General features: G+C 41.2%; 1 protein-coding gene across 3 annotated transcripts in view, besides 4 other annotated features; it reads left to right on the top strand.

Moving 5' to 3' along the window:
* Nucleotides 5,343-5,602: a silencer, noted in NCBI's record as "silent region_16115". NCBI's record gives its function as "represses an Ori minimal core promoter by ATAC-STARR-seq in GM12878 lymphoblastoid cells {active_cell/tissue: GM12878}" and the evidence as "EXISTENCE:reporter gene assay evidence [ECO:0000049][PMID:35858748]".
* TBCA (tubulin folding cofactor A) overlaps nucleotides 5,489-13,715 on the top strand; it is an 85,174-nt gene continuing 76,947 nt past the window's right edge. For all 3 annotated transcript variants that reach the window (NM_001297740.2, NM_004607.3, NM_001297738.2), the window contains exon 1: nucleotides 5,489-5,623. In NM_001297740.2, coding sequence (NP_001284669.1) covers nucleotides 5,571-5,623 — 53 coding nt within the window. In that variant the 5' untranslated portion in view covers nucleotides 5,489-5,570. The remainder of the gene's footprint in view (nucleotides 5,624-13,715) is intronic.
* Nucleotides 5,723-5,892: a silencer, noted in NCBI's record as "silent region_16114". NCBI's record gives its function as "represses an Ori minimal core promoter by ATAC-STARR-seq in GM12878 lymphoblastoid cells {active_cell/tissue: GM12878}" and the evidence as "EXISTENCE:reporter gene assay evidence [ECO:0000049][PMID:35858748]".
* Nucleotides 6,910-7,794: an enhancer, noted in NCBI's record as "OCT4-NANOG-H3K27ac hESC enhancer chr5:77069858-77070742 (GRCh37/hg19 assembly coordinates)". NCBI's record gives its function as "activates a minimal SCP1, AML or CMV promoter by ChIP-STARR-seq in naive H9 embryonic stem cells {active_cell/tissue: H9 hESC(naive)}" and the evidence as "EXISTENCE:reporter gene assay evidence [ECO:0000049][PMID:30033119]".
* Nucleotides 7,795-8,680: an enhancer, noted in NCBI's record as "OCT4-NANOG-H3K27ac hESC enhancer chr5:77068972-77069857 (GRCh37/hg19 assembly coordinates)". NCBI's record gives its function as "activates a minimal SCP1, AML or CMV promoter by ChIP-STARR-seq in naive H9 embryonic stem cells {active_cell/tissue: H9 hESC(naive)}" and the evidence as "EXISTENCE:reporter gene assay evidence [ECO:0000049][PMID:30033119]".

The following is a 13,715-nucleotide window of genomic DNA, read 5'->3' as shown; positions in this document are numbered from 1 at the left end:
TGAGCCACCATGCCCGGCCCCTTATGATTTTCTTAATAACACTTTTTTTCTCTAGCTTGCTTTATTGTAAGAATACAATATATCCTATATATAACATATAAATATGTGTTAATTGACTGTTTATGTTATTGGTAAGGCTTCCAGTCAACAGTAGGCTATTAGTAGCTAGGATTTTGGTGAGTCAAAAGTTATATGTGATTTTTGACCGCACAGGGGTTGGCACCTCTAACCACTGTGTTGTTCAAGGGTCAACTGTAGGACCTCAACCTTCCAAGATTGGCAATGCAAGAATTATCACTCAGGGAGGAGATGGCTAGACTTTTCTCTTGTTCTGCCAGATTCACTCAGTGCTGTTAATCTCTCAGATCTCTTCAACCCTAAATCTCAAAGGTGGATGGACTTATCCCTTGTAAAGACCTTTATAAACTCATTCCTGTAGTTCACCTGAGGCCAGGCTGGAATATTTAAACAGTATTCAATTAGGTTTAAGGATAACAGAACAAAAGGGTGCTAGACAGTGAGAAATGCAGCTTAGTTAGTTTCCATTTCAAATGCTGGAGGGCATCTCCCTGCCTAGATTCTGCAGGCCTCCCTACAGTTAGTACTCTCCTGAACTGACCTGAAATGGCCTTCCATCAGCCTGCCTCCTCAGAGTCCAGACCCGAAAGAGCAAAGCCCAGAGGAAGATGGTGTGTGTGGGGAGGTGGGGATTCAGGTTGTCTTAGTAGTCATCTTGCTGCAATGGGAAGTCTCTGTGACATATTATTAAATGGAAAACAAAAGGATTGTTCAAACAGCACTTATTTACATTCAAGAAATATTTATTAACTGCTGTGCGTAAGGCTTTGCTACATGTTGGGATACAGTGGTGAATAAGTCAAACATGAGTCCTTTTCATACAAAATTATGAATCAGACATGAATTCAGCATGATATCATTAACGATAATATGTACATTTTTATATTCATATGAATGTGAATTCTACCATGCTGTTAGTTTCTTATTTGGGACCTCTTTCCAAAATGACTTATTTATTTAACAAACTTTATGTTTGTTAAATATTATGTTGACAAAAAGAGTTAAACTCTGTGAAATACTTCAAGAGATTTATTCTGACCCAAATATGAGTGACCAATGGGCTGTGACATAGGCCCAGGAGATCCTGAGAACATGTGCCCAAGGTGGCCAGGTACTGGCCCAAGGTACCTCGGTGGCCCAAGGTACTGCTTGGTTTTACCCATTCTAGGGAGACATAAGACATCAATCAATACATGTAAGATGTACATTGGTTCAGTCTAGAAAGGTGGGACAACTGGAAAAGGGGGGTCATCCAGGACATAGGCAGATTCAAAGATTTTCTGATTGGCAATTGGTTGAAAGAGTTATTATCTAGAGACCTGGAATCAATAGAAAGGAAGGTCTGGGTTATGATAAGGGGTTGTGGACACCAAGGTTTTATCTTTCAGATGAGGCCTCCATGTAGCAGGCTTCAGAGAGAACAGATTGCAAATATTTCTTTTTTTCTTTTTTTTTTTTGAGACTGAGTTTTGCTCCTGTTTCCCAGGCTGGAGTGCAATGGCACAATCTCAGCCCACCACAACCTCTGCCTCCTGGGTTCAAGTGATTCTCCTGCCTCAGCCTCCCGAGTAGCTGGGATTACAGGCATGCGCCACCATGCCTGGCTAATTTTGTATTTTTAGCAGAGACAGGGTTTCACCATGTTGGTCAGGCTGGTCTCGATCTCCTGACCTCGTGATCCTCCTGCCTCAGCCTCCCAAAGTGCTGGGATTACAGGTGTGATCCACTGCACCCAGCCTGATTGCAAATATTTCTTATCAGACTTACAGAGTCTGTTCTATTGGTCTTAAGGTCACTTGTTAATGGTCAGCTGTGCTTGAATTACAAAAGAGAGGAGGGTATAAAGAGGCATGTCTGATTCCCCCTTCCCTTCGTGGGCTGACCTAGTTTTTCAGGTTAACTTTGGAATGCCCTTGGCTGAGAGGAGGGGTCCATTCAGATAGCCCGGGGTGGGGTGGGGGTTCACAATTTTATTTTGGTTTACATTCATGTGGGGCTTAATAAGTACCAGCACTATCCTAAGCACTTTACAATTATTAGCTCATTTAAGTTTTTCATCATCTACCTTTTACAGAAGAAAGAAACTGGGGCATAGAGAGGTTAAGTAACTTGTCCAATATTACACAGTTAGTAAGATGCAGAGCTAGGATTGACCCCAGGCAGTCTAGTCCCAGGGTTCACATTCTTAACCACTATTGTAAACTCCTGAAACCTGAAACAAGTCTTTCTGATTCTTATCCTTAAAGGCGGCGCCAAACTCCTTAATCTTAACCCATAGACTCAAGAATACAATATAGAATGGTTGTCCCCTGATATCTGTGGGGTATTGGTTACAGAACTGCTAAGGATATCAAAACTCATGCTTGAGTGCACACAGAAGTTCCCTAGTTGGCCCTAAGAAACCCACAGAAAAGTGGGCCTTGCCTATATGTGGGTTTCTGCATCCTGGGAATACTGTATTTTCCATCCTTGTCTGGTTGTGGATGCAAAACCTGCCAATATGGAGGGCTGACTGTATTTATTGAAAAAACTCTTCTTCTAAGTGGGCCTGTTGCCAGAAAGCAGTCCCCATCCAGACCCCAGGAGCAAGTTCTTGTATCTCGTGCAAGAAAGAATTTGGGGCAAGTCTATAAAGTGAAATGAAGTTTATTAAGAAAGTAAAAAAATGAAAGAACGGCTACTGAATACAGCAGTGGCATGGGCTGCTTGACTGAGTATACTTATGGTTGTTTCTTGATTATATGCTAAACAAGGGGTGGATTATTCATGAGCTTTCCAGGAAAGGGTGGGGAGTTCCTGGGACTGAGGGTTCCTTTCCTTTTTAGACCATATAGGGTAACTTCCAGGTATTGCCATGGTATTTGTAAATAGTCAGGGTGCTGGTGGGAGTTTATTTTATTATGCTAATACATTATAATTAGCATATAATGAACATTGAGGACAACCAGAAAACACTTTTGTCACCATCTTGGTTTCGGTGGGGTTTGGCCAGCTTCTTTACAGCATCCTGTTTTATCAGCAGGGTCTTTGTGGTCTGTGTCTAGTGAAACCAGTCCTGCCAACCTCCCATCTTATCCTGTGATTAAGAATGCCTAACCTCCTGGGAAGAGAGCCCAGCAGATCTCAGCCTCATATTACCCAGACCCTATTCAAGATGGAGTTGCTTTGGTTCAAACACCTCTGACACACCTGCACAATTCGAAACTGTTGTTCAAGGGTCAACTGTATACACAGACACAGATAAACTCACAAAGTGTCCTCCAGAGCCTGGGAATGGGCCTGGAAACACACAATGGCAGTAGCAGCAGAGGTCTTTTGGCTGCTGACATTTACTGATTATTGATTTATAGTAAAGGCACAGATACAAATCAATTAAAACAAAGAGAAAGGGGGCAAAAGGAGGGAGGCAGAATTGGGGATTGGGGGGAAATAGCAGGTATTTGTATTGGGAAGCCTAGTTTGAGAGAAACTCCTGCAAATTAGCACAAAACTGAGCTCTGAGCTTCTTGAAACCAAAGCAAAAAAGGAAAATATGACGAGTTACATGGTTTTTGCTACCTAATCAAAGGAAAGACCTTAACGGTAGCAAAAGCCCTAGCTGCACCATCTTTTGGTTTGTGGCTTGTAGCTGCTGTTTGTGTGTGTGTGTGTGTGTGTTTGTGTGTGTGTGTGCATGTCATTTTGCTTTGGTAAGTTTGCTGTTGTGTTTTATCTACCCCTCCCTCCAGTATTTCACAGCGCTGCTGTGTGACTTGGAATTGCACATCAGTATACCAGCCAGCAGAATAAAAATATTTATTGAATTCTGTGCCCATTGTGCACAAAACACAGGTGGAGGAGGTTGGGGAAGGAAGATTTATGGAAGACAAGAATCTTGCCTCTAAACATGTTTATGAACCAGGATTTATAACTACGAAGCTGAACAAAACCCTTACGAAGGACCAAACAATAATTTGAAAAAGAAATATACTAAAAATAATGATGACTACTGGGTGACTCCAAAGCATCCAGGGAAGATTGAACAGGTGGGGTGAGTCATAGTAGACTTTGCTCAGTTTTGATCCTGGATTTAAAGTAACGGCCTTGGGCTGGCGGGATAGAAGGGGATTCCAGGACCAGTCATGAAAGTGAGAATGAGTAAGTCAGGCTAGGGAAGGAAAAAGACAGTCATATGGGTGTCTTTGAAGGATGGTACCAAGAAATTTTAAAAAGGGGGTGGGCTCGGTGGCTCATGACTGTAATCCCAGCACTTTTGGAGGGTGAGGTGGGCCTCACCTGAGGTCAGGAGTTCTAGCCAGCCTGGCCAACGTGGTGAAACCCCGTTTCTACTAAAAATACAAAAAAAAAAAAAAAAAAAAATTAGCCAGGCATAGTGGAACGCGCCTATAATTCCAGCTACTCTAGGGGCTGAGGCAGGAGAATCACTTGAACCCAGGAGGCGGAGGTTGCAGTGAGCCGAGATCAAGCCACTGCACGACAGAGTGAGAATCTGTCTCAAAAAAAAAAAAAAGAAAAAGAAAAAGAAAAGCAATTTTAAAAAGGGCGATTCTGCCCTGTATTCCTCAGGAGATTCTCTTAGGAAGGGACTGCTAGAGCTCACTGTAGATGTGCCTCATTTTATGCAACAAATATATTTTTGAACATATAAAATAGTCAAATGTTGTTCAGCATCTACCATGCGTCAGACAATGAGCTAGGTGTTTTAACCCTTATACCTAATCTGTAAAATGGACATTATTATTTCCATTTTGCAGACTGATCAGCTGCAAGGCTAAACAGCATACGTATCAGTGTTGTCTAGCTAATAGTCTAGCTATTAAAGGGTGGAACCTCGATTGTAAGCCGGTTTGTCTGATTAGGAAGCCCAAGGTTTTGTGTGCGACACACATTCTTGTAAGTTAAATATTTAGGATACACTATAAGTGATCATCTGAAGAAGTTCTGTTAGTCATTTCCTTTGAAAGGCACGTTATCTACAAACCTTCTTGCAGGGATTTGAGGTAAAGGGCAAGGATTTTCTTGACTGCGTGCATGATGGCAGTTTGTTTCACTACACATGCATCACTCTGCCTCATCTGACACCAGATAACGACATCGAAAATACCCTTAATACATTTTTTAGGTCACTCCGTCCATTAAGCAGATAATCCCGCAAAGCAACGTCCCAGAGAGACGTTAGTTTCCCCAAAGGCCCAGGCTGTGGAGACCGGGATAGTGTAACTTGCGCCTGAAGTAAAAAGAGGGGCAGTCCGAGAGAGAGGAGGAGGGCACGTTTCACTACGGGTAAAGGGGCGCACGAGGGGTAAAGGGACTGGCGGGAGCAGGGTACCGCCCTCTAGTAAACCCGCCCCGCGGGGCGTGGCGGGGACGACGGGCCGCGCAGCCTGCGCATGCGCGCCGGCGACCACGCCTAAATAGCCGCAGCCTCTGCGCGTCGCCCTCCACGGTTACCCCGGCTCTCCGCCCCTCCTTCTCGCGGCGCTCGAGGGACCATGGCCGATCCTCGCGTGAGACAGATCAAGATCAAGACCGGCGTGGTGAAGCGGTAAGGAGCCGGGAGCGGCGCCCTGCACCTCCTCTTCGTCACCTCATGGCGGCCCGCGAGGCTGAGCGGAGCGCAGGCCCGAGGAGGCCCGAGGCGGGCTCCGAACTCCAGGCCGCACCCGGGGCTCCGCAGTTGGCTGGGACTGGCAGGGACCCAGCGGGGCGCGCTGACGCCCGAGCCCGCCAGCCTCGCACGCCGCTTCCCGTCCCTCTCCGCTCACTGGCCGCTCTGATTTGCCGGAAGAGTCGGCGGTGGCCCGGTTTCTCGGCGCCCGCGGTGGGAAGGTGGTGGGCCGCGGCCTGCGAGGGCGGGCCGGGCCCTGATCCCGTGCCTCCTGTGTGCGCGCGCCGGCCTCTCCTTGCTGAACTTGGCCCGGGGAAGCGGGATCCCAGCTGTGCTCTCAAATGGGCTTGAAAGCAGGCTCTGAAGTTTAGGGGGATGCGGAGGATCTGGGCCTCGTCAAAAAAGACCGTAGTGGAGCCGTGTGACCTAACATGGCTGGCGTGACTGGCAGGCTTTGAGAACTGGGCCTGAACTTCTAGCACACTCAGCAAACTTATGTGGCCTCACTTTCTCCAGTCAGATTCCCCGAAGCTCGCCCCAGAGGCTGTGAGATGCTGTTTAAATAACTTGTGAACCAGAAGTATCTGAGACAGGTCTTAATTTGGAATGTTTATTTTGCCAAGGACGTGCCCATGACACAGCCTCAGGAGGTCCTGATGACATGTGCCCAAGGCGGTTGGGGCACAGCTTGGTGTAATACGTTTTAGGGAGACCTCAGATATTAGTCAATGGGTAAGGTGTACCTTGGTTCCCTCCAGAAAGGCAGGACAACTAGAAGGTTGGGGGGCATCCAGGTCATAGATAAGAGACAAATGGTTGCATTCTTTTGAGTCTTTGATCAGCTTTTCACTTAATACACAATTTACATGTGAGAGAGGGATAGAAGAATAGTCACTTATGCCTTAGTCGGCTAAATGAATCTGCGATTTTACATACACAGTAGGGCAGAGGAAGCAGTCAGTTACGCATTTGTCTCAGGTGGGTAGAGGGGTGACTTTGAGTTCTGTTCTTTGTCCCATACCTGTGAAGATAAGCTATCAATTTACATTGCCAGGGTGAAATACAACAGAACTGTTTTAGAGTGAAGGTCTTGAGGCCCACAAGGAATTTCCTTGGGGGCAAATTGTCAGGGAGGTATGTAGCTTTTTTTTTTTTTTTTTTAATCTTTGTAGCTATCTTATTCAGGAATAAAATGAGAGGCAGGTTTGCTCGATGCAATTCCCAGCTTGACTTTTCTTTTTGGCTTAGTGATTTTGGGGTCCTGAGATTTATTTTTCCTTTCACAAACTCATGGGTAGTGCAGTCCTGTAATTTGCTTAAATTCCTGTAAACCAAGAAAGTACCTGAGACAGGTCTCAATCAGTTTAGAAGTTTATTTTGCCAAGGTTAAGGATATGCCTGTGACAGCCTCAGGAAGTCCTGATGACATGTGCCCGAGGTGGTCAGGCTACAGCTTGGTTTTATACATTTTAGGGAGACAGAAGACATCAATCAATACATGTACGATGTACATTGGTTTGATCTGGAAAGGCAGGACAACCCAAAGCGGGCTGGGGACAGTTCCAAGTTATAGGAGGTTTTCCAATTGGCAGTTCGTTGAAAGAGTTTATCTTAAGACCTGGAATCAATACAAGGGAGTGTGTCTGGGTTAAAATAAAGGGGTTGTGGAGATCAAGGTTCTTATTAGGCAGATGAAGCCTCCAGGTAGCAGGCTTCAGAGAGAATAGATTGTAAATGTTTCTTATCAGACTTAAAAAGGTCCCAGACTCCTAGTTAATTTTCTAGTGGATCAGGAAAAAGACCTGGACAGGGAAGAGGGTTCTCTACAGAATATAGATTTTCCCCTTAAGAGACATCTTTGCAGGGCCAATTCAAAATATGTAAAGAAATATATTTTAGAGTAAAATGCTTTTATTTCTTTCAGATCCCGCTATCTGTCCTGTGATGCCATACTAGAGTAAAGCTGGAATTTGGTGTCTTATTGTTACAAAAAGCCTTAAGATCTGTTTTAATGTTAATGCTGCTCAATTGTTCCTGAGTTCCAAAGGGAGGAATGTGTAATGAGACATGTCTGACCCCCTCTTCCCATCATGGCCTGAATTACTTTAGAATGCCCTTAGTTGAGAGGAGGGGTCCATTCAGACGGTTTTGGAGCTTAGAATTTTGTTTTTAGTTTGCATTCCTGAGTGCTGGTAGACCCTTCAGTGTTCATTAGAACTTTATTGTTCAGACCCAAGAAGAGCAAACTTTTTGATGAAGTATTACAAGAGAAAAGATAAACAGCCTTCTGAAGAAGCAAGTTATTTTGTTGTAGCAATGTCTACTAAAGAAACCAACTGGCTTCTTCCTGTTCGCCCACCTTTCCTTTGTTTATTGATATTTCCACCAGAGGAAGGACCAGGCAAAAGGGAGAATAAATTCACTTTTTAAGATAATGCTTCTGAGTTTTAGCACAGCATCCCACTTCCCGGGAAGCTTTATTGCCAAGGCAATAAGGAGACCATGTGAGTAGGAGTTAAATGCACAGCCATTTGTGAAGTGAGACTGCTTGGGTTCAGATCTTGATTCTGCCCTTTATTCTATGTTGTGGAATATATTACATTGTGCTGTGCCTCTTTTACCTTATTTGTAAAATAGAGCAAGCACCCAACTCAAGCAGTTGTTGCAAGAACTGCCTGCTATGCTGTTTAATACAGTATGTGGCAAATAGCAAGTGGGTAGTAAATGTTAATAATACTGTTTGGATTCTCATTTTACATATGAGAAACTGAGGTTTAATGAAGTTAAAAAAAGAAAAAAAAAACTTGTCTAAAGTCACACTACTAGTTAGTGGCAATGCAAGGAAAAGGACCAAGGTTTCAAATCTACAACTTTCTCCTTTAAGCTACAGTGCTCCCGTAAAGAGTATTTTTAAAATTGGTAATAGGAAGGGAATTGAGATGTATATTTGAAAATATAAATAATCCATCCTGTCCCTCAGCTCAGAGTTCTTTTTACCAGACTTTTACCAGACTGGTTCACTTTTACCAGACTTGCTTGGGTTATGTCATTTTAGTCAGTATATTTGGCAGAACTATCAGGGTGTGTTGCAGAGTGCTGTAGAATGAAAGTCATGAGAAATGACTTCTAATGGTAGTTTCCCATTCATTTACTTATATGACCTTGACATTTCTCATTCCAGTGATCTCTACTAGTTTATAAAATTACTTAGTTCAAGTAGTTATATGCTGACAATACATATTCTAGAGAAAATACTCATTGAGATTATTATAAACTAAGTTTTTGACTTTTCAGAAGTTTTCAATGCTTATGTAAACTGCTTAGAAATAAATTTATCATTTTATGAAACTTGGTGATAGTTTACTATTATCTCAAATTGCTTATAAATTAATGGAAGTGTCTCCCATACATTTTAAAATGACTTTTCTGTTGACATTTTGGGGTATAGCTTCCCACTTATGTATTAAAATGCAATTAAAGAAAAACCCCTAAACTTTCTGTTTTAGCTGCTTGTTACTCACATTTTGCCTTGGTATATCACCATCTAACTCCATAAATATTGTCCCCTATTGTCTCTTGTTATTTTTCACCTGAAAATTATTTTGCTATGACTCTTTCCATCTTCTACCTTAGTATCCTATTTTTATTTTATTATTATTTATTTTTATTTTACTTTAAGTTCTGGGATACATGTGCTGAACGTGCAGTTTTGTTATATAGGTACACATGTGCCATGGTGATATGCTGCACCTGTCGACCCGTCATCTAGGTTTTAAACCCTGCAACCTATTTTTAAAAATCTATATTTTACCTCAGCAAAGTAAAAAATAGATGAGGCAGCAATGGTAACATATTACTAATTGTTGGGGCTGAATGATCATGGGGCTTCATTATATTTTTCTGTACATAAGTTGAACATTTTTCATGATAAAAAGGGTCTAAAAGATATGCTTTTTTCCTCCTCTCTCCAAATTTAGTTTCAAAGATACCTTAATTCATGATTCAGACATGTTCTTGCTTTTGTGAAAGGGATTCTATTCTTTTCTTTTTTTTTTTTTAATCAATGGTTTAAAAACCTATCCTCGACACTATTTTAAATCTGTTCTTGACACTCTTTTTCTGGTTAGACGTTCATTTTCCATAGCCTCATTTATCTTCGGAAGTCACAACCTTTATTTGGAAGAAGAGGTTTAAAGTCATTATTCATGCCCCAAATCCTTCAATTTTCTCTCTAGAAATTGAGAGCAACTAGAAATTATATTCTAGGTATTTGTCCTAGAGTTCAGTTTGGGTAGGCTATACTAGAAAGGGTGGATTAATTTAGTTTCTGATTAGACCTGGTGGAACACTTCAGGTGACTCAGAAGTTCCTGATAGTGGGTCTGAGGAAGAAATGTGGACAGGCAGGTTGAATGTTAGGGGAATATGGAAACAGGCAATAAGTAGATGATGGTATTTGGCGTGTAGGAGATCCAGCCATGCGTGCAAGACGGCCATTTCAGCATGTTGGCAAAATGGCAGAGTTGACCTAATGGATAGCAGCCCACATTATAAAGTAGAAACAAGTTTCAGGGCCAGTATTTTTAGGCCCTGGGAAAATAGGCCGGAGGTTTACGGTGAGTGTCTTGTTCCTAGAGAAACTTTGTTACCTTGTACAGTAAATGGCAAAGCATCTGATTTCTGGGAAGTGAGTTTCAAGAGAGAGAGGTTAGATTACTAGGAATAAAGAAAGAGTCTAGATACTAGGAATGGCTTAGAAGGTGAGAGTTGGACAGAATGAGGCTGAATTGGTGCTAAGCCTCTGACTCTGAGGGCTCCTTAAATATCTTCCAGCAACAAGATTTTAATAGTATTGTTGTTATTTTTAGTTGACACATACATATTTACAGGGTACCCTGTGATATTTTGTTACATGTATACTTTTTTTTTTTTCCTGAGGACTAATTCTTGCTGTGAAACTAGAGAAATGTATGTAACAGAGGCTAGATGGGTTATTATATTATTTTTATTTTTATTTTTTCAGAGTCAGAGTCTCGCTGTGTCACCCAGGCTGGAGTGGACTGGTGTGATCTCGGCTCACTGCAGCTGCTGCCTCCTGGGTTCATCCCTGCCTCAGCCTCCTGAGTAGCTGGGATTACAGGTGTCCGCCACCATGGCTGGCTAATTTTTGTATTTTTTAGTAGAGACAGGGTTTTGCCTGGCTGATCTTGAACTCCTGACCTCAGGTGATCCACCTGCCGTGGCCTCCCAAAGTGCTGGAATTATAGGCGTGAGCCACTATGCCTGGCCCTAGGTGGGTTATTATACTAAGTTTCTTTGAGCAGCAGCCTTTGTTCACATGTGACTCACTGGTAGTGGGTATTAGTTGGCAGGTTTGGGTGTAGCTGGCTCTTTGTTTTTTTTCTTTTTTTTTTAAGATTTGGATCTATGTTTCCAGCAGATTGCTAGACCTATTGATATCTGTGACAGGGTCACAACTAATCTGGCAGCTCTAGCAGAGTTACCAAATAATACTCAGTTTTTTCCCCCAGCACAGAACTGTTGAACACTCTGTTTTTTTTTTGGAGCGGGGGAGGATATCTAGGTGGCATCAATTATCACAGTTTGCCTGAGACTGAGGGGTTTCCCAGGATGTGGAACACTTCACTGCTAAAACTGGGAAAGTCCCAGGCAAACTGGAATGATTGGTCACCTCTTCTGTAACTAGCTAACATAGCTCTGTTTTATGTGTTCTGTGATTTATTTGGAGGCTATTTACAGATAGTACAACTGTGAGTTGTATGTTGTACCTTAATTTAAAACTTAAGTGCATGGTGTAAATATGAATCCTTGACAGAGTAGCTTTTGTTCTGTATTTAAATTATTAATGATTTAGAAAATAATTTTCACTAAAGTAGGAGAAAATGCAGAATTGATATTTTCTAAATGTGGTATTTCAGCTAAGTGACTTATCTGCACCAAAAAAGTTTCCAAGTGGGATTTGTGTTCATAAAAAAGTTTGTTTTTTATTAGACTTGTGATAAATTCAAGAAATTCTTCTGCAAGTAAAAAACACTCACAATCATTTAACATAAAAGGTTATTTAACTTTAAAGCCAGCTTTCAATAAAGCCTGTTAAACTAGTTCACTGGTGAGTGAATGAATTGATTAAAAATACTTTCTTAAATATATCTTTTTATAACCATTTTGGATTGGTAATGGCTTAAAATCCAATGTGAACAAAGAATGTTAGGGCATTGGAAATAGCACTGACATTGGCCCATAGTTTTCCTCTGATTAAATGAAAGTGACACCAGTAGATTAGAATGAGACTAGGACAATTCACACTGCAATTTTGTTAGTTTAACTTTAACAGTCTTTTAACACTCTTGTTTAAATGTAGCTGACATACCATAATTACAAATCTACAAGCCTTGATTATAGAATTTTACATCATGAGCCTGTGGGGAAATTGTATTGATTTTTTTTTTTTTAATAAAGCAAGCATTGTTCCCAAACTGTGGCATCTTCCGAAGTTTGTTTATATCTACATCCTATATACAACTGTGTATGGTGTATATGCTATGTATAGCAGGCATGAAGACAACATAAAAGGTATGTAAAATCTCCACTATTAGTTCAATATATATTATACTGATATAAAAAGTGAAGAATGCAAATGACACGTATACTTAAGTAGACGTAAAGTCTCCCCCCATTAGCTTTAGCTGTTTATATACTTATATTTAAAGCAATGGTGCATAGAAGTATGGTGGACTGTATCTGGGATAGGTTAAGAACATAGTCCTGTAAATTATTCCTGTAAGATTTGCTAGCTTTGTTTTCTTTTATCCTCTTTTGCACTGTACCCCATTGCTAAGTTCAGCCAGATGGCTACCTTCCTACTTTGAAATTTAGCTAGTTCCTTTAGGAATTTGTGTAATGTATTCAGTTCTCCAAAGTGGTGGTCAGAGGCCATGTCAAAATGGATTGCAGGTGGTCAGCTCTTCACCACATTCTGTTAACTACTTGGCAAGTAGTTACTCTTAGGAGCAATATAGCAGGCAACCAGATGTCTCTTCAAGCTGGAGAGGGAGAAGGCTAAGGCCACTCATCATCACAGTTTTCCCAACACAAGGTATTTTATTCTCCAGGTTGAATGTGGAGATGAAAGATCTTTGGCCCTGTATGTGTATGGGTGTTTTGTTTTTTCATTGCATTTTTTTGTTTGGTTGGAAATTTTGAAAATCTGTAGTAAGCAAGGTTGGAAAATTTTATTAATAATGGCAGTCTAAAACTCTTAAGACAGTAAATGCTTAGATGTGTGATGTCTATTCCAGTATTCTACTTCCAGTAATACCTTTATAAAAGAATATAATAATGTTCTATTGTGATGCTGTTGTGTCCAAATAGAACTGATTTTTTTCTTAATAACTTGTCATAGGTCTAACTAAAGATCACTCATTTAGCAGCCTCACTCAGAACCTACATCTTACTGTCTTTGAATCATCTGGTATGGTGTTGGCACATTATACTCAGTAAAAGTCTTTGCAATACACAGATGAAGGAATGAAATCTTCCTTTATAAGGATTTTGAACCTGATCGGATAAGCAGTAGAGAGCCACTGAATCAATTACTATATTACAGCATAATAGTTACTATATTCTTGCAATATAGTAATTGCAGAATAGTTATTTATTCTTGCAGTGAGAGTTAAATAGATGGGCTCCCAGGCTCCACTTACTACACGTTATTACATATGTGACCCTGGGAAAGTTACTTAGCCTTTAAAAGCCCCAGTTTTCTTAGCCGGAACATGGGGTTAATGAAAGTACCTGTTTTTTTTGTATTGTTAGGATAATTAAATAAGGTAATCATGTAAAGCACTTAGCCCAAATGCCTGATATGTAGTAAATGTTCAATAAATGCTAACTGCTCTCATTATTATCATTAACACCTATCTTCGTTCATTTGTGCTGCTATAAAAAAATACCTGAGACTGGGCAATTTATAAATAAGAGAAATTTATTTCTTATAGTTCCAGAGGCTG

The sequence above is a fragment of the Homo sapiens genome, chromosome 5 (genome assembly GCF_000001405.40).
Source record: "Homo sapiens chromosome 5, GRCh38.p14 Primary Assembly".
NCBI lineage: Eukaryota > Metazoa > Chordata > Mammalia > Primates > Hominidae > Homo > Homo sapiens.
The sequence above is the reverse complement of the archived record's forward strand: the minus strand, read 5'-3'. Positions and strand labels throughout refer to the sequence as shown.